Genomic DNA, 19,646 nt, shown 5'->3' with positions numbered 1-19,646 from the left:
TGAAGTTTGTCTTCTATCTGAAATTTTCCATTGTGAGAACTGGTAACTGCCCTTATTAAAGCCAGTTGGATTTTCTGTTGCTTACAACCCAAAGCATCCTAAATCGTATACTCGGATGGACTCATATCCTTCAACAGTAGAAATGTAGCTGTTTTTTCTTTCCTGTGTATATTAATTATTGTGCATAGAAAATATATCTTAGACATTGAAGTGAGACCTCAGAGCTTCTTAAATATCGAATAAGCAGGCCGGGAGCAGTGGCTTGTGCCTGTAATCCCAGCACTTTAGGAGGTCAAAGTGGGGAGATCACTTGAGTTCAGGAGTTCAAGACCAGCCTGGCCAACATGGCAAAACCCGATGGCTACTAAAAATACAAAAATTAGCTGGGTGTGGTGGCTCATGCCTGTAATCCCAGCTACTGGGGAGGCTGAGGCAGGAGAATCACTTGAATCTGGGGGGTGAAGGTTGCAGTGAGCTGAGATTGTGCCACTGCACCCCAGCCTGGGCAACAGAGCGAGACTCCGTCTCAAAAACAACAACAACAACAACAACAACAACAAAATCAAATAAGCAATCCCAAAAGGAATGTGTTATAATTAATGCAAATCGGCCGTAAAAGTTCATCTCACAGAAATTTATGTCAAGTTTGCAACGAATTAGGGACAATGGGTAATAGGCTATTAGGTCATTGCACGCTGTTATGCGTAGAAAGTAGTTCTGTTATTTTTGCTTAGTTATGAACTAAACTCTGAGAGTTAGTTTATCATTTATGGGAGTTAATTGAGTGTAATGATTAAGATCATGGATTTTAAAATCAAATGGCCCAACATTCAGCAGTTGTGCCTCAGACAAATTATTTAACTCTTCCATGACTCAGTTTCCTCAGATGCAAAGAGAAGTTAATGGTATTTATATCTAGGGTTGTTAATAATGATCAAATGAGAGATCATGTCAAAGGTTTAGCAGAATGTCTGGCAAATAGCAAGCCATAATGTTTGTTATTATAGTTACCCACTTTTTTTTTTTTTTTTGAGATGGAGTCTTGCTCTATTGCCCAGGCTGGAGTGCAGTGGCGCCATCTCTGCTCACTGCAAACTCCGCCTCCCGGGTTCACGCCATTCTCCTGCCTCAGCCTCCTGAGTAGCTGGGAGTACAGGCGCCCGCCACCGCGCCCGGCTAATTTTTTGTATTTTTAGTAGAGACGGGGTTTCAACGTGTTAGCCAGGGTGGTCTTGATCTCCTTACCTCGTGATCCGCTCACCTCGGCCTCCCAAAGTGCTGGGATTACAGGCGTGAGCCAACGCGCCCGGCCCTTTTTTTTTTTTTTTTTTTTTAATAGTTAAACAACTACCGTGGGACAGAAGAGCTAAGTTTAGAATTGTAGAATATAGAGACTGAAGAACAAGCCCCGCTGAGCCAGTGTTGGCATTTGATGATCTTATCCACCTTGAATTTCTAAGGAACAGAGGTGTGACTAATTGAATCTACATCATTTTTGAAAAGTTCCATATCAGAAATAAGTCTTAGAGTGAGATAGCCCAAAAATTACCATCAGAGATCAGCCAAAAATCTGGTTCCAAAGCAACAGTTGCTCAGTTTTTGTTTTACTGAAAGTTTATTACTCTAGAACATCTTGCTTCTTTGCTTCATCAAAGCTGTGTGATTTTCTTCCAGTTTGTTTCTGGATCCTACACTAACTCAGAGAGTATAAAAAGCAAAGAAATACGATATTTGTCAAATTGTTAGGGAACACTCTAAATTGTCTTTCTCCATTTTTTCCACTAGGGGGCATCCCAGGCACAAAGGAGGCTGGGGTTCATTTGGGTCTCTATCTTTTCTTTTTCTCTTCTTTTCTCTTCTCCTTTTCTTTTTCTTTTCTTCTGTTTTTTTGAGACAGAGTTTTGCTCTTGTGGCCCAGGCTGGAGTGCAGTGGCACAATCTCGGCTCACTGCAACCTCCGCCACCTGGGTTCAGGAGATTCTCCTGCCTCAGCTTCCCGAGTAGCTGAGATTACAAGCATGCACCACCACTCTCGGCTAATTTTTGTATTTTTAGTAGACATTGGGTTTCACCATGTTGGCCAGGCTGTTCTCGAAGTTCTGACCTCAGGTGATCCTCCTACCTCGGCCTCCCAAAGTGCTGGGATTACAGGCATGAGCCACCGCGCCCAGCCGGGTCTCTATCTTCTTGAAATTATTTTTTGGTATAAGTCGATTTTCATTTCTTCCTTTTTCTAAACCATCACGATAAGGAATATGTGAGAAAGTTTTGAGACAGGATTTACAGCCAATACCTTGGTTAGCTTCATCTTGCTTTAAAATTCAAGTTTAAATCTTGTCAGATAACAATGTAAAAATAAAGCTATGATGATGGAGGAAGCTTTGACTCAGTTTTCTTCTTCCATTTCTCTCTACCTCATTAATTAATTAATTAATTCATTCATTCATTAAATAACTATTGGAAACTTATGTGCCAGGTACCAAGCTAGGGACCAGGAAGACAGAGGTGAACAAGATGAACATGGTCCCTGCCCTCATGGGGGCTCATGATCTGCTGGGAAAGACAGATATTAAATGGTAATTGTGCAAACTGCATCTAACTACCATTGTGATATGACCTTGAGTGAAACCACGGGGAAGTGTGAGCATGCAAAAGGGAGACCCTCATGTTCTTGAAACGTTGGCATATCAGAGAAGGCACCTCTGAACAAGAGGCACTTAATCTGAGATAAAGGAGTGGACATTAGCCAGGAGGAAGGGCACATGGGGAAAAGAACCTTTCACTCATTCAGCAAATAGCTATAGAGTATCTGCCATGGGCCAAGCCCTAGTCTAGATGCTGGGGACACATCAGTGAACAGAACAGACAAGGTCTCTGCCCTCACAAGGTCAACATCCTAGGGGGAGGAGATAGATAATAAAGAAGATAATAAATAAGTAAACAGTTAAATAAAAATATTGTTAGTGGTGGCAAACCCCATGGAGGAAGTAAAACAGGGTGGTGTAATAGCAAGTGATGAGGGGTGGGGTGGTTGCCTTAGAGATGGGGGTTAGGTTGATCCTCTCTGAGAAACTGTGACCTAGGGCATGGGGAAGAAAGGACCAGCTATGTGAAAATCTGGAGAATGGTGTTATGAATGGAGGAAACAGCACACATAAGGCCTTGAGACCAGAATGATCTTGTCATGTTTGGGGCCAGTGTGTGGCTGCAGCTGAGTAGAGTGGGGGCGAGGTAGAAGATGAGATCTGAGAGGCAGCCAAGGGTCTGATCATGTAGGGCTTTGCGGGGTATCATTAAAAGTTTGGATTTTAAAACACCGCATGTTCTCACTCATAAGTGGGAGTTGAACAATGAGAACACATGGACACAGGGAGGGGAACATAACACACTGGGGCCTGTCGGGGGGGTGGGGGGCAAAGGGAGGGAGAGCATTAGGATAAATGCTTAATGCATGCAGGGCTTAAAACCTAGATAATAGGTTGATAGGTGCAGCAAACCACCATGGCACACATATACCTACGTAACAAACCTCCACGTTCTGCACATGTATCCCAGAACTTGAAGTTAAAAAATAAAAAAAAGTTTGGATTTTAGTCCAGAAGAGTAGATGCTCCAGAATGAGCAGTCCTTTTGACACTGAAGAAGAGAACAGACTCGCTGGCACTAGAGCCCATATCTAGGGGACCATCAACTTGTTAATGTCCCTTGGTCTTTTACTCCGAAGACAAAAAAAATGAAGAATAAACAAAGTTGTGGAAAAGGTACTGATTTCACCTATCAAGGATGAAAGGGCAAAATTACAAGAACGGATTCCTGATCACTGGTCAACAAGGGCAAATGCTTGTCTTAACTACAAAAGAGACACCAACTCAACTAAAAAGCCTGCTTGTCGAGGCAAAGTAGCATTTTGTGATTGGGGGTTAAAGACTGACCTTCCAGCTTTTAGTAATAAAGACCTTTTTAAGGACACACAAAAAAAGTTTGGATTTTAAAGGCTGGGTATGGTGGCTTACACCTACAATCCCAGCACTTTCGGAGGCAGAGGTGGGAGGATTGCTTGAGGCCAGAAGTTTGAGACTAGCCTGGGCCACATAGCAAGACTCCCATCTCTTCCAAAAAAAAAGAAAGTTTGAGTTTTAATTCCGTGGGTGGTCACTGGGTGTGTGGGTTGGGTTTCAGCAGAGGAATGATGTGATTAAGTCTAGGTTGTGAGATAACCCTGGCTGCTGTGTGTGTTTTTTAAGCGAATGGATGTCAAAGCAAGATGTAGTAGACAGAATAATGCTCGCCAAAAGATATCCCCATACAAACACCTGGAACTTGTGAATATGTTGGGTTACATGGTAAAGAGGAATTAAGGGAGCAGATGGAATTAAGGTTGCTAATCAGCTGACCTTAAAATAAGGAGATTTTTCTGGATCATCCAGGTGGACCCAAAGTAATGACAAGGGTCCCTAAATGGGGAAGAGAGAGGAAAAGGAGTCAGAACAAAAGAGATGCAGTGTGAAAAAGGCATCTTAAGGGGAGGAGGTAGATAATAAAGAAGATAATAAATAAGTAAATGGTGACTTTGCTGCCGTTGAAGATGGAAGGAGGCCCTGAGTCAAGGCATGTGGATAGCTTCTAGAAGGTGGAAAAGGCAAGAAAAGGGATTCTCTCTACGAACTTCCAGAAAGGAATCCAACCCTGCCGCCATCTTGATTTTGGTCCAGCAAGACCCGTTTTAGACTTCTGACCTCCAGAACTGCAAGATAATAAATTTGGGTTGTTTTAACTCATTAAGTTTGTAATGGTTGTTATACCAGAGAGCCCTGTAAGAAAGCTACTGTAGGACTGGTGCCGTGGCTCATGCCTTTAATCTTGGCACTTTGGGAAGCCGAGGTGGGCGGATCACTTGAGGCCAGGAGTTCGAGACCAGCCCGGCCAACATGGCAAAACTCCGTCTCTACTAAAAATACAAAAAATTAGCTGGGCATGGTGGTGCTAGCCTGTAGTCCCAGCTACTCGGGAGGCTGAGGCAGAAGAATTGCTTGAACCTGGGAGGCGGAGGTTGCAGTGAGCCAAGATCATGCCACTGTACTCAAGCCTGGGCAACAGAGCAAGACTCCATCTCAAAAAAAAAAAAAAGCTACTGTAATTGTTTAGATGAGCTTTGGTAATGGCTCAAGAAATATTTATTTACCTTCCCTTCTAGGCGTGCTTTAGGTCCTCTTTCTTGGGGGTGATCAGGCCATTTCTATATAGGCAGAATTTGGCCTTTTATGAGTTCCTCCCAATACTTTCACTCCAACTAGTACAACTAGTACAACTAGTCCCCATGCATGGGATTCCACGTGACCTGGGGGAGTAAACACTTGGTCACAGTTCCAGGAGCAGACAGCTTGGGTGCATCAGTGAACCAGTGTGGGTGCAAACTGGGAAATTCTACACTGGGACAGGAAGAGAGATGAACGCCGTGACCGGGTCATTGCAGGTCTGACTGGCTGCTCACCCGAGGTTTGGAACAGGTACTCGAGATGAAACTCTCTGATGCCTCATGCAGGCAATGCACAGAGGCAACTTCATACTTCCCTCTCCTGACCCCTGATAAATAGATGTCTACTGGAATGAATGAATGAATGTATTGGAAAGGGAATTCCTTCTTTCTGTGGCTTCTCCAGCAAGTGTAGGTGATGCCTGAGTCATCTTTATGCCTGCCTCTCTTTGTGCTTGTCCAAACCAGAATTCAAAGTGTTTTGGTGCAGGGACATATTTTTATAGGGCAATTCCCCAGACTTAAATATTCAATATTCGTGAGTATTTTTTAAGAATTGGTTGTAACCCATGAGTATGAACGTTATCTTACAAGATTTTTTTTTTTTTTTTTTTGGTAATTGGTGGCCCAGAACTGTCTCTTATATTTAGAAGCCTGAATCTAGGGTTACGTATCAAGATATGTGCATCATGCTGTTTTGCTGAATGCAGCTGTCCTGCTGTAGGCCAAAGGTAATTTGCTGATCCAGGAGCTGAGGCCAGCGATTTTATATCTGCATCTGTTTCTGCCCATAACTTGTGGGCAGAGACAGGGCAACTTCAAGAGCTGTAGCCCTATTGGCCTCAGCACTGCGAAGAATGGTAGGACAGGGACTGTCTTCCTTCCCTTTAGTACAGCCAGTGTGTTCTCCTGCAAAGTGATGGCACAATACTTTGTTTATGCCTCTGTCTGGGCACTCTCATGTTTCCTTCTCATTGTTTGTGTGTGTCTGTTCCCCCCACTAGACTACTGCCACCTTCTCAGGGGTCTCTCTTAAACATTCTGGAATTTCCACCAGCCCAGTTTCTGTGGTTGAGCAGGTGCTCTATAAATACTGGTCAGAGAAGGAGCTGGATGAAAGTGACAACACCACGGGGAAATTGAAAAGCTATGAGGAGGCTGGGTGTGGTGGCTCACACCTGTAATCCCAGCACTTTGGGAGGCCGAGGTGGGTGGATCACCTGAGGTCAGGAGTTCGAGACCAGCCTGGCCAACATGGTGAAACCCAGTCTCTACTAAAAATACAAAAAATTAGCCAGGTGTGGTGGTGCACACCTGTAATCCCAGCTACTCAGGAAGCTGAAGCAGGAGAATCGCTTGAACCCGGGAGGTGGAGGTTGCAGTGAGCAGAGATCGTGCCATTGCACTCCAGCCTGGGCAATGAGTGAAACTCCATCTCAAAAAAAAAAAAAAAAAAGAAAAGAAAAAGAAAAGCCATTAGATTACTTTGCCCTGCATATGGAAGGTATAGTAAGAAGCAGCATGCTTAATATGGACGCTGTTTTTTTTGTTTGTTTGTTTTTGTTTTTTTGCCTAGCAAATCTCTCTCCTTCTTCTGGTAAGAGTACTTTGGTTTTCCTTTGGGGAACCATCCTTCCCGCACCCTCAATCTATAAGGTTTGAGTGGAGCTGACCTCACATTCAGTTCCAGTGATTGAATCCTGACTTCAAGCCTGGCCAATGAGGGCACCACACACCCCTGGCCACAGCATCCATTTATGTTGGTACAGTGGCCACACCTGTTTGTTAATGACTGGTATCCATTTTGATAGGTCGGTTTCTGGTTTGTATCAGTTGTTCATTATATTGAATTGAACCATTTTTCCCCCCTGGAGCTATTAGGGAAGAAACACTGTCTTTCCACAGGCTGGTAGGAAAAAGTCCAAAGCTGTTGGCAGTCGTATTGTCCCTATTAAACTAAAATGAACTCAGCAAGTTGGGGCTGAGACCTGGAAAGGGACACGTTCCCAAAAACCCTGCGCACCAGGATCCAGCTGCCTCTGAAGCTATCCCTGGAAGTTTCCGTCTTGTGAGGGTAAACTCTACTTTTTCTGCTCTATTTAGCCAGTTTTTGTAACTGGCTGATGAAGGAGTCTCTTGGTTGATAATACACCTTTTTTTTTTTTTTGATACGGAATCTCACTCTGTCGCCCAGGCTGGAGTGCAGTGGCATGATCTCGGCTCACTGCAACCTCCGCCTCCCGGATTCAAGCGATTCTCCTGCCTCAGCCTCCCGAGTAGCTGGGACTACAGGCGCCCGCCACCACGCCCGGCTAATTTTTTGTATTTTTAGTAGAGACTGGGTTTCACTGTGTTAGCCAGGATGGTCTCGCTAGCCTGACTTTATGATCCACCTGCCTCGGCCTCCCGAAGTGCTGGGATTACAGGCGTGAGCCACCGCGCCCGGCCACCAATCTCTTTTTAAACTGTGCTTTTGCGAGTGGAGCAGGGGCAGTCTTAGCTTTGGAGGAAGCTCTGGACAAGCCCATCATCCCAACAAAAACCATTTTGTCCTTCTTAGAGCTTAGGACCTGGGGGACGCCCAACAAAAATCAGTGGCCCTCTTGACCCCAAGGAGCACATTTAATGACAAGATTTTTCTTATTTTATTTTTTTACTTTAATAGGACCAACATTTTCAGTGCCTCATAGAGGGACATTTCTGGCCATAAATTAGTTCAGAGTGATGCCTCTCTAGCGCCACCTCTGGCCTCTCTGGGCTCTTCCCTGGGGACTGATGCTGGACTAGATGAGCTTATTTTGGTTACGGAAATCTCTGGAAGGTGGGGAACCCCAAGAAAACACAATTCACACACTGTGGTACACAGGCTTACTTAAAACCATTTTTATTCTGCCTCTGAGCAACACTTTTCATTTGATTTGGGTAAAAGACCAGGGACCCAAACACGCACAAACAAAAAACAGGATGTCAGAAACAGAAATCAGGGTCCAATCTATTGGAATGATGCTAGAATCTCTGTGTGCTGAGATTTCGTGTCCCTGATTCAACGTCCTCCTGGGACAAGTGCTGGCTCATCACAACATCCGGGTAAAATGACAGGTTGAATCTGATGTTCATCAGAATTTTTTTTTTTTTTGCTAGGGTTCAGTATATGAAAAAATGCTGAAATTTGTATTGGTATAGTACTTAGAATTCTCCCCGCCAATGGTTAGTCACAACTATTACAACAATTAATTCTCATAACAGCACTGTGAGGTAAGTAGGCAGGCATTCTTATCCCCATTTTGCAGGTGAAGGAATTTTAGGCACAGAGAGGCTATGAAACTTGCCTAAAATCAGCTTGCATAGCTAGTTAGTGGCCAATAAAAACCCTGCAAAAACAAAAGGGCGTTGGAACTAGGTATTGACTCTCAGCCTCTTATTCATTCAATTAGAATAATCTGCCTTTCTTTTTTCTTTTTCTTTCGTTTTCTTTTCTTTTTTTTTTGAGATGGAGTCTTGCTCTGTCACCCCGGGCTGGAGTGTAGTGGCACAGTCTCAGCTCACGGCAACCTCCGCCTTCTGGATTCAAGTGATTCTCCTGCCTCAGCCTCTCTATTAGCTGGGATTACAGGCATGCACCACCACGCCTGGCTAATTTTTGTATTTTTAGTAGAGATGGAGTTTCACCATGTTGGTCAGGCTGGTCTCAAACTCCTGACCTTAAGTGATCTCAGCCTCTCAAATTGCTGGGATTACAGGCGTGAGCCACCACGCCCGGCCAGCATAATCTGCCTTTCTTTTGCTTCATTATCACCATCTTTCTGACATTAATTCTTTGAAGTGACTTTTGCCACATATACTTATCTGGTGTGTTAATTACTTGATATTTTCTTGAGTTCTCTTGTTTTTCTTAATTTATTTGAACAGAAACAATATGTCACATCCCCCACTGTGGGAAGCTGTAAATGGAAGGTAATAAATAAAATAAATACCATGACACAAAACAATATCATTAAATTCTATCTAGACAGAAGACTCTGAGGCCTGCTCTTTCTTTGCTAAAAAGGGAAAAGAGCCATAGTGTCTGAAAGGTGTAAAGGACCTGCTAGCACTAAACAGAGACTTTTTCCTTGCTGTAATCAGGATGAAAAAAGAATAGAAAAGGGGAAACATTCTTTGTGATTTGGTATTACTTAATGTTGTTCCTAGAAACTACTTAAAAATTATCTTGTGTACCACCAGTGGCACACCCCTTGTGCTCTGTGAGACACTGGGTTACTGCGTTCTGGCAGGCAGAATAATGGCATCATTAAACCAGTACATTCACATCTAAAGGGTTTACATTTGACAGAAAAGAAACACAATGGGTGGCATTTCCAGGTGGCATCCAGGAAAATCAAAGATCTTGCCTGAGACTTGCTAGAGATAGGAGAGAGAGTGAGAAATTGAAAAAAAAAAAGCACATTCTATAAATACAGCCAGTTTATTCCCAAAACTGGGATACAGGAAGTGCTCATGTACCTAGAATTGGCCACTAAGTCCATTCTCAGAGCCTGTTTGAGTGAAGAGTGAGGTTTTGGTCAAGTTGACCAACGTGGATGCAAGCAAGGGAGGGGGCCTATTTGGAAATATAAGCATCAAGACAAAAGGCCAGAAAAGCCCCTTCTTTGAGTGTTTGATGACCAGATGGGTGAACTCTGGGCATGGGAGTGCTGACTCCCAGAGGAGGAGTTACTGAAGGTTATAAGAATAAAAGGAAAAGCAAATCCACAACTTGAACTCTACTAGACAATTTTAAACATGCTGCAAATGTTTGTGCTCAACATTGTAAATACCAGCACCTGCTGCTCTTCCTAGAAACCTCCATCTCCCCCTATATGGAGACCCCCTGGATCCCCTCAGTGAAAAGTTATGTGATTTCCTGAGGCTCGCCTCTGGAGGACAGGAGTGGACACAACGGGATTCGCTAAACTGAGACAGTGAGACTTCATTTTTCTTTTTTCTGTTTTCTTTTCATTTTTACAAATCAATGACTTTGGCTGATCCGGCTGTGCAGCTTGGATTGCCTAAATTTTGGACTTTTTTTTTTTTTTTTTCTTGTTCATTTGCCAGGGACCTGCCTCTGGAGAGTCCTGGAGGAAAAGATCTCACAGTCTGAAGTCAAGGATCCATTCCTTAGAAACTCCTTTGGGGTGTGTGTGGATGAGGTCCATCCTCCACGCTCACAGCCCACTGACCGCTGGTTCCTCAGGCACTGTGTGGTACAGACAGAGAGAGAGAGAGAAAGACCGTGGGCTGAGCTTCTGTGGTTGGCTTTCCCAGCTCGATGCCTTCCTTATTTGATGATGATGACTCTGGTTAAACACATGTTGAAATGTACCAGCCTGCGTGCACACTTTTGACTCTAAGCAGGGGCTTCCTTTTGAGAAACATATTCTATTTGTAAAACTTATTTTATCTTACATGTGGTACGTGCAAAAAAACAAAAGCAAAAACAGGCCAGGCATGGTGGCTCACGCCTGTAATCCCAGCACTTTGGGAGGCTGAGGCGGGTGGATCACGAGGTCAGGAGATAGAGACCATCCTGGCTAACATGGTGAAACTGCATCTCTACTAAAAATACAAAAAAAATTAGCCGGGCGTGGTGGCGGGTGCCTGTAGTCCCAGCTACTTGGGAGGCTGAGGCAGGAGAATGGCGTGAACCCGGGAGGCGGAGCTTGCAGTGAGCCGAGATTGTGCCACTGCACTCCAGCCTGGGCGACTGAGCAAGACTCCATCTCAAAAAACAAAACAAAACAACAACAACAAACAAAATGCGGATATGGAAAAATGCCTCTTGAGCATTTCCGAACCTCACTCTCCTCCCCAAGGATTAGTATAGTAGTGCTGTTAGCAGTTTGGTGTAAGTTCTCCAGGCGTTTTTCTCTGCATTGAAACTGATCAATAAGCATGTAGAAATTATATACTCATCATGTGTATGCGTTTACACAATGTGATCGTGCTGCAATTTCTTTTTTTGTTTTACTCATTCATTTATTCAATGCTTATTTACATGCTGGGCACTGCTTTAGGTGCTGATGATAGTAATAATACCCAACAGTTACCTAGTGAGTACAGAGTGCCAGGCCCTGTAGTTTGTGCCATTTAACCCTCACAGCCCTATGAGATAGGCACTGTTATTATCCCCATTTTATGTATGAGAAAACAGAGGCACAGACTGCTTAAAAGATATACCCAAGGGCACACAGCTACTTAGAGGAAGCACCTGGACTGGAACTCCAGCAGTCTAACTTGTAAATAGGTCCTCTTTTTCTTTTTTTCTTTTTTTTTTGAGATGGAGTCTCGCTCTGTTGCCCAGGCTGGAGTGCAGTGGCATGATCTCGGCTCACTGCAACCTCCACCTCCTGGGTTCATGCCATTCTCCTGCCTCAGCCTCCCAAGTAGCTGGGACTACAGGCGCCTGCCACCATGCCCAGCTAATTTTTTTTTTTCTATTTTTAGTAGAGACGGGGTTTCACCATGTTAGCCAGGATGGTATCGATCTCCTGACCTTGTGATCCACCCGCCTCAGCCTCCCAAAGTGCTGGGATTACAGGTGTGAGTCACCACACCTGGCCATAAATAGGCACTCTTAAGGGCCATGCTCTATTATTATGGGCAATAACAGAAATGAAAATGTCCCTGGAGTTCTCATGCCAGTAGGGGGGAAACAGACATAGATATATAATTTGTCAGGGAGTAGTAAGGAAGAGAAGTAAAACTGGCTAAAGGGATAGTCTCTTTGCTAATGTAATATATGAACAAGTACCAGAAGGAGAAATGGGAACCAGCTGTTTGGCTTTTAGAAGGAAGAGAATTCCAGGCAGAGGGAACGGCAAGTGCAGAGGCCCTGAGGCAGGAATATGCTTGCATTGCTCAGAGAGGACTCTGATGTGGCTGAAGTGGAGGGAGTGAAAGGGAGAGAGAGGGGAGATGAGGATGTGGGATGGGAGATGAGGATGGGGAGGTGGCAGCCAGATCATGCAGGGCTTGTAAAGTCATAGTAAGAAGGATGTCTCCACCTGTATACTTAAAAAAAAATAGAGACGGGATCTCAGTATATCGCCCAGGCTGGTCTTGAACTCCTGGGCTCAAGTGATCCTCCCACCTCGGCCTCCCAAAGTGCTGGGATTACAGGTATGAACCAGGGCACCTGGCCCTGTCTTCATGTTTAAACTGCAGTGTGGCGTCCCATCATATGAATACATCACTCCTAATTTAACCTGCCTACTGATGGACATTTAGGTTGTTTCAAGGTTTCTCCTATTGCAAACAAAGCTGCAATGAACATCGTTGCACGTCTGTGGTTCCCAACCCTGGCTGCACATTAGAGTTACCTGGAGAGCCCTACAGTCTACCAATTCCTGGCCCTGTTACTGGAGATTCTAATTTAATTGGTCCAGGGTGGGCCCTGGGCATTGTTTTTAAAAATTTTTTTGTTTTAATTTTTTGAGACAGGGTCTTGCTCTGTCACCCAGGCTGGAGTACAGTGGCACAATTATAGCGGACTGCACCCTCGACCTCTTGGGCTCAAGCTGGCCTCACACCTGAGCCTCCCAAGTAGCTGGGACTACAGGTGCATGCCACCAAGCCCAGATATATTTTTTTAAATTTTTAGTAGAGATGAGATCTTGCTATGTTTCCCAGGCTGGCCTCCAGCTCCTGAGCTCTAGTGATCCTCCTGTTTCTGCCTCCCAAAGTGCTGGGATTTCAGGCATGAACTACAGTGCCCAGCGGCATTGGCATATGTTTAAAGCTCCCCAGGTGATTCTAACACGTAGCTAGGGTGAAGCATTACTGTGTTACATGCATTTCTGTGCACCTGTCTCTAAGGTGGATACTGAGCAGTGGAATTGCTGGGTTGGTGGGTGCCTGGATTTTATATTAGATACATCCAAACTGACTTTCCAAAAGACTGTCCCAATTTTCTCTTTCACCACCAGTATAGTGTCAAATTTTTCACATCCTGGTCAACCTTGATATTACCCATCTTTTTAATTGTTGCAATCTGCCAGACAAAAATATGTAGGATTTTTGTTGTTATTGCTTTAATTTGTGCTTTCTTGATTACTAGTGAGGTTGAACATCTTTTTAATGTTCATTCTGATTTCTTCATCAATGCGCTGCTAGCTTATATCCTTTTCCAAGCAAAAATTCTTCCATTGTTGCTGGCAACTTAGGTCTGATTTGTCTCTACCTGAACTTATCTGAACCAACAGAGAAAGACCCTTCTAACCTTCTAGAAATAGGTAATGATTCCCATTTTTCATTATGGAATCACAAAAATTCTCTGATCAAAACAATTCCCAGAAAGCCTTTCCCCAGCCAAAAATATAGAAAAGAAGAGGGATTTGCTTTTAAGCTTTTGCAAAAAGGTCAAGTTCCACCTTGATATGTATGTCTCCTTCCAATTCTGATGCAATTGAAGGATATTTTGAGACCAGGAAAGGATTCATTTCAATTTGCTTATGAGAGAGACGCTTTCCCAGTACAGAATGGGTCAAGGTCTTCTAACTCTGTGCCTGCTAATGAGACACAGTCATGGGACCCTAACCCCTGTTTAGAGGTAAGTTTTTCCTTAATGAAAACCTTGGAGCACAAAGGCTGTTGTTGTTAAGAATGGCAAGCAAGCATTTTTAACACACAGGTGTGTACCTGGCTGTTTACACCTCAACAAGACCACTCAGAGATGTACCTTCAGGGGAGTTACATTGTATGTGCATTTAACATGTGGCAGATCAACTATTTATGTTCCTCAAAAACAAAAAAAGCAACTGTTTAAATAGAGCTGGAGTTTCTGACTGCCGCCCCGCTCAATGATCATGAGCACGGATGGGGATGTCACATCTATTCCTTCTATGTGAGCCCAGAGTGTGGTTCCAGTGTTGAAACAGATGCCATGAACCCTAAACCCAGCCACATACTTCAGTGGGCTCTCAACCCAAGGAACAGTCACCTGTTCCAACACTGGAAACATTCACTGGCTATGCTGGGCTGATCAAGATACCATGTGTGAGTCTCCAGTAGGGCGCCCTCCTTGGATACTTCCAAGATTAAGTTTGATTATACTCAAAGCTCACCTTGTGCCCTGACATGAGAACCTTACTCCTGAGTAACATGAAGCTCCACTGTATTAGCAGGGTCATCCGGGAATGTCATATTTGTCACAGAGGACATTTGTCTCATACCCAAATGTTGTCCTGGTCAACTCTTTCTGCTGCTAAGGACGTTCCGCTGAATTCCACAGAGCATCAGATAAGTGACCATGAGCCTAATCTCAATGAGAGATGAAAAGAGCTGGGTGTGGTGGCTCAACCCTGTAATCCCAGCTAACTCAGGAGGCTGAGGTGGGAGGATCACTTGAGGCTGGGAGTTCAAGACCAGCCGGGGCAACATAATGAGACCCCTGTCTCAAAAACCAAAAACAAAAGGGAGGGAGGAAGAGAAAATTTGGGAGGTGTGTAAACTTTCCAGGGAAGCAGCAATAACTGAAGCTTCTACCAGGTACCTTAGGTGTGATGTTGTGCTATAATAACAATAAGAAATATTTGATCCCTGCATCTGGTTCTTGACACAGAGCTCCTAACACCCTTGTAGACTGGGTACTAGGAGAATCTTTTGTTTTGATGTTTTGTCTTTGACTCCAGTTTCTGACACAGAGCTCCCCAGTTTCTTGGAATTTCCTGGGTGATGGGACTATATTTGTTCTAATGAGGCAACTCTTGGTGGGCTCCTGGATAGCCTCAGGTTGGGAGTGGGTTGCCAGGGGAACCAGCCATGTAATTAGAAGGTTGGAACTTCCAGTCCCACCCCCTGGACTCCAGGGAGGACAAATGGCCTGAAGGTTGATTTTGAGTTGGGCACCAATGGCCAGTGATGTAATTGGTCATGCCTATGTAATGAAGCCCCCATGCAAACCCAAAAGGACAGGGTTGGGAGAGGTTTTAGATTGCTGAATGTGTGGTGGGACCTGGAAGGTGGCACACATGGAAACACCACGCCCCTTCCTCTATACCTTGCCCTATGCATCTCTTCCATCTGACTGTTCATCTGTATCCTTTGTAATATCCTTTGTAATAAATGGGTAAACATAAGTAAGTGTTGCCTTGAGTTCTGTGAGCCACTTTAGCGCATTAATAGAAACTGAGAAGAGGGTGGTGAAAATCTCCAACTAAGAGCCAGCCAGTCAGAAGCGCAGGTCACAACCTGGGGCTTGCAATTAGCATCTGAAATGGGAGGCAGTCTTGGGGGACCAAACCATTAACCTGTGGGATCTGACTCTAACTCCCAGTAGATGGTGTCATAATCGGGCTAAATTACAGAATACCTAGTTGGTAGTCACTGGACAATTGCTTGGTGTGTGGGGGAAACAAAACACACCTGCTCACAGCTGTGTGTTGTGTTGAGTGTATAAGAGAAGAAAAACTGTTTATCTTTTATCTTAGGGATGCAAAAAGTCTTGTTTGTTGGCACATGTCCACACAGGCAAGAATGTTCTTCATTAAATGCAAGCCCTAGGATAGTAGTTCTGCAACTTTAGAATATTTAGAATTATTTTTTGGGGAAGGTGGCTTGTCATATTTCCAGGCTACTCAGGAAATGGGGTCCAGGAACTTGCATTTTTATAAACATCCCAGATGAATCTGTCGTAGGTGGCTCTGAGATTTGTGCTTTGAGAAACATCACTAGAATAACCTAACCTTGCTTGAGTCCTCAAGGTATTAGCAGGAAGCAAAAGCCTGCAAATAGGTTGGTTTTGACTAGGGGTTTGAATTACTAGGATTGATAAATGGACAGCTACTATATTTAAACCTTTCACCTGTGTGATTTATTTCTTCACTTTCCCTAGCAGCTTGAGGGCGGAGAGTTTTCTGACTTTGAAAGACTGCAAGTTCATGATTCTGTCTGGACAAGAACAATTCCCTGCTGTCAATGCACGATTCTATCCAAAATGGTTTAATATTTCAGTTGAATAATTCCCAGCTCTTAGGAATTTGATGTCATGAAACCCCGTGTTTCATTGCCCCAGCCACCATGTGGCTTACATAGATATCCTGTAAAATAGGACGAATGAGAGCTTTTTATGAGTTTGGGTAAAGACTATCATGATCTGAGACTACGCCAAGGAAGTAAACTACCCGGGATTTCAACCATTTGAGATTTCAATCTGTTCTCTAACACATTGGTTACAGCTTTCTTAATAAGGATAAAGAATGATTTTTTTAAAGACAGGGAATTTACAATTTTTAAAAGGCAGTAATTTACTTCAGACAGGTTTTGTTTTTGTTTTTGTTTTTTTTTGAGACAGGGTCTCACTCTGTTGCTTAGGCTGCAGTGCAGTGGTGTGATCACAGCTCACTGCAGCCTCAATCTCCTGGGCTCAAAAGATCCTCCTGCTTCCGCCTCCCAAATAGCTAGGATGACAGGTATGCGCCACCAAACCCAGCTAATTTAAAATAAATATTTTTTGGAGCAACAGGGTCTTGCTATGTTGCCCAGGCTGGTCCTAAACTCCTGGCCTCAAGAGATCCTCCCACCTCAGCCCAAGGTATTGGATTACAGGTGTGAGCCACCACACCCAGCCCCGAGACAGCATTTTGGAATGAATACTTTCAGAAAACTCACAGATTCATGGGTTTTGGGCTCATCTTCAGGCTTCGACTCCTCTAATGTCAGATTTTCCAGCCCCTCTGTGGAAATAGATTGTTACAAAGGAGGCTCCCTGTGGGTAGACCTGCTAGGTGGCAACTTCATTCCCCTCCCTAGCATTGGGTTAGACAGCAGATTAGGATGATGAGTTTGCTGTAAATGAAAACCGACCAGTCCATGAATGGCCACCATTCGCACGTTCTTCCTTGTGGACTTTGGTGGCAGGATATTTGCCAAGGTTTGGCAAAGACCCTTCTGCCCGCCACCTGCATCTGAATCCTCAGGTTGGGAGCAGGGGCAGCTGAAAGATGCAGATGTTCTTGAACCCCACTTCTGATTTAGCAGGTTGGAATCTTTGGAGGTGAGGCTCGGATGCTAACTTTTTTAAAACCTCTCCAGGTAACTCTTATGGAGTCTAAAGCTTGGGTACTTTTGCCTTAAAAGTTTCATATTGCCATTTAGTTACTCCTGTAAATGAGGGCTGGGAGATTTAATTTCAAAGGATTACTGAGAAATTGGCCATGTTACCTGGAAGAGAGAATTGATTTCATTCTCTAACAGCTAGTTCTTTTCTGCCTCTTTCCTTCTTTCTCTCTGTCTCTCTCTCTCTTGCCCCTACATGCATATGACAAAGCCTTTAAATTTGGGTCTCTTTTAAAATTTATTTATTTAGTTTTTGAGACAGGGTCTCACTCTGTCATGTAGGCTAGAGTGCGATGGCATGACCACAGCTCACTGCAGCCTTGAATTCCTGGACTCAAGTGATCCTCCCATCTCAGCCTTCCAAATAGCTGGGAATACAGGTGTGTGCCACCATGCCCAGCTAATTAAAAAAAATTTTTTTTTTTTAGAGATGGGGTCTAGCTATGTTGCCCAGGCTGGTCAAGGAACTCCTGGCCTCAAGAGATCCTTCCATCTTTGCCTCCCAAAGTGCTAGGATTATAGGCATCAGCCACTGTGCCTGGCCTGTTTTCTTTAATAACAGAGGGAAAGGCATCTAGAAGGAATTTGACCTTACAGATGGGGAAATAATTCAATTCTCATTTTATAGTTAGGGAAATTGAGGCACAGAGAGTTTAATAATTTGCCCAGATAGCCTGTGTGGTAGAAGTAGGATCTGAATCCTGATAAAGCTGGTATTAAATCATAGGCTCTAACCTTTGTGAACAGTGCCTTTTAGGAAGAAGGATCAAAGAGGCAACTCCTTCTCATACCTTTTATTCCTAACAAAGCTTCAATCACAAGCAGAGACATCAACACTTCATCCCCAGATAAAAACACTTATATTAAGGCTGGAGAAAGTCTAACATATGAATGCTTCTAGATCCCTTCCAACACTTCTTGGATGGAGTTGCCATGAGCAAACTGATCTTTGAAAGCAAACTGTCCACTAGAGACTGCAAAGTAGATAGTGTCTAGGCTGCAAATATTGTTTTTGTGTTTTAGTAATGTGAATTGCTAACCATGCGTTTTAGTAATGTGAATTGGTTGTCAACATCTAAAAATTTGGAGATTTTACATAAAATCCCAGATTTCCAACATCTCTTGAAAAATGAGCCCCATGAGGCCTGCATACTAAGTGGTTACAATTGGAGCAGAGTGGTGGCTGCTTCCTTTAAACTGTGCTTTTGAAATTACCATGGTCCCCACCACTTCCTATTGTCCTATAACCAGGCTACCTCATGTATGTCCTTCCCCTGACCCCTGTACTCCTTTGATTTTGTGAACCTTAGCCCTGACTCATCACACATTTCTGTAGGATGAAACCTCACCATACCATTCCCCCGTAAATCAATCCTGGAGTTAGCCACAAAGCAAGTACCACTTACTGGCCTTTGTTACTGGGTGTACTAGCAGGAACATATTGACTTAGCGGCAGTGCAGAGTTTGGCTAAGAACACAGCCTGAAGAGCGACACTATCCTGGTTTTAAATCCTACCTTTTCCACTAACTAGCTGTGAGGCTTTGGGCAAGTCACTTTACCTCTCTGAGTCTCGGTTTCCTCATCTACAAAATAGGGATAATAATACCTATCTACCTCTTTGGGTTGCTGTGAAGACTCAATGAGGATTAATTAATGTTAAGAGCTTAGAACAGTACCTGGCATATGTCAAGGTCTATGTTAGTGTCAGCTGCTATTATTATAACCCACTTAGCTCAAACACTAATCTAGGCAGTATGCATTTTCCCAAGTTCCCAGGAGTCAAGCCAAGGCTTGGTCTCATTCCCTTAGAACATTGTCCTTTGTTTGGCTCATAAATATAAAGCCTTGAATTCTATTTAATGGCATCTTGAATTCTGAGGTCCTTTCCCAGTAACATTGATAATATTAGTAATAATGGGATTAATAAATGGTTTACATTTTTGTGCACCCACTAAAGAACAGAGACACCAACCTACACATTCTGTGGGTCATCCAGTTAACCTTTACAATAGCTTTATGAAATGGGTACTACTATTATTCTCATTTTACAGGTGAGGAAACTGAGGTTCAGGAATGTTAAACAATTGGCTGAAGGTCTCACAGTGAATAAGTGGTGACTGGGACCTGGGTCCAGGCAGTCTGGTGCCAAAACTGCACCATTAAACCCACACTCTGTGGCTCCCCTGCTCACAAGTTCACAAGCACCTTACACCTTCTCTTAAGAATATAGTCAGGTTCATTCACGTGTATTCTCCAACCATCTTCCTCTTCATGGGCCAACATCAAATTTGCCATCCT

General features: G+C 43.8%; 1 protein-coding gene and 1 long non-coding RNA gene across 10 annotated transcripts in view; one reads left to right on the top strand and one right to left on the bottom strand.

Moving 5' to 3' along the window:
• Nucleotides 1-19,646, top strand: part of PRKAB1-AS1 (PRKAB1, TMEM233 and CCDC60 antisense RNA 1) — a 280,141-nt gene that overhangs the window by 16,939 nt on the left and 243,556 nt on the right. The gene's annotated exons all lie outside the window — the stretch shown is intronic.
• The window catches only part of TMEM233 (transmembrane protein 233), a 60,522-nt gene that overhangs the window by 3,107 nt on the left and 37,769 nt on the right, over nt 1-19,646 (bottom strand). Inside the window, exons 3-4 of one of the 7 annotated variants that reach the window (XM_005253881.4) lie at nt 16,901-16,965; nt 8,114-10,490 (exon numbers count right to left, since the gene is read on the bottom strand). The exons of 1 other annotated variant lie outside the window; for it this stretch is intronic. In XM_005253881.4, coding sequence (XP_005253938.1) covers nt 16,926-16,965 — 40 coding nt within the window. In that variant the 3' untranslated portion in view covers nt 8,114-10,490; nt 16,901-16,925. Of the gene's footprint in view, nt 1-8,113; nt 10,491-16,900; nt 16,966-18,126; nt 19,645-19,646 lie in introns of those variants that run through there. 5 more of the 7 variants (XM_011538328.4, XM_011538329.3, NM_001136534.3 and 2 more) reach the window with 5 other exon arrangements.

Source organism: Homo sapiens, chromosome 12 (genome assembly GCF_000001405.40).
Source record: "Homo sapiens chromosome 12, GRCh38.p14 Primary Assembly".
Classification (NCBI taxonomy): domain Eukaryota; kingdom Metazoa; phylum Chordata; class Mammalia; order Primates; family Hominidae; genus Homo; species Homo sapiens.
The sequence above is the reverse complement of the archived record's forward strand: the minus strand, read 5'-3'. Positions and strand labels throughout refer to the sequence as shown.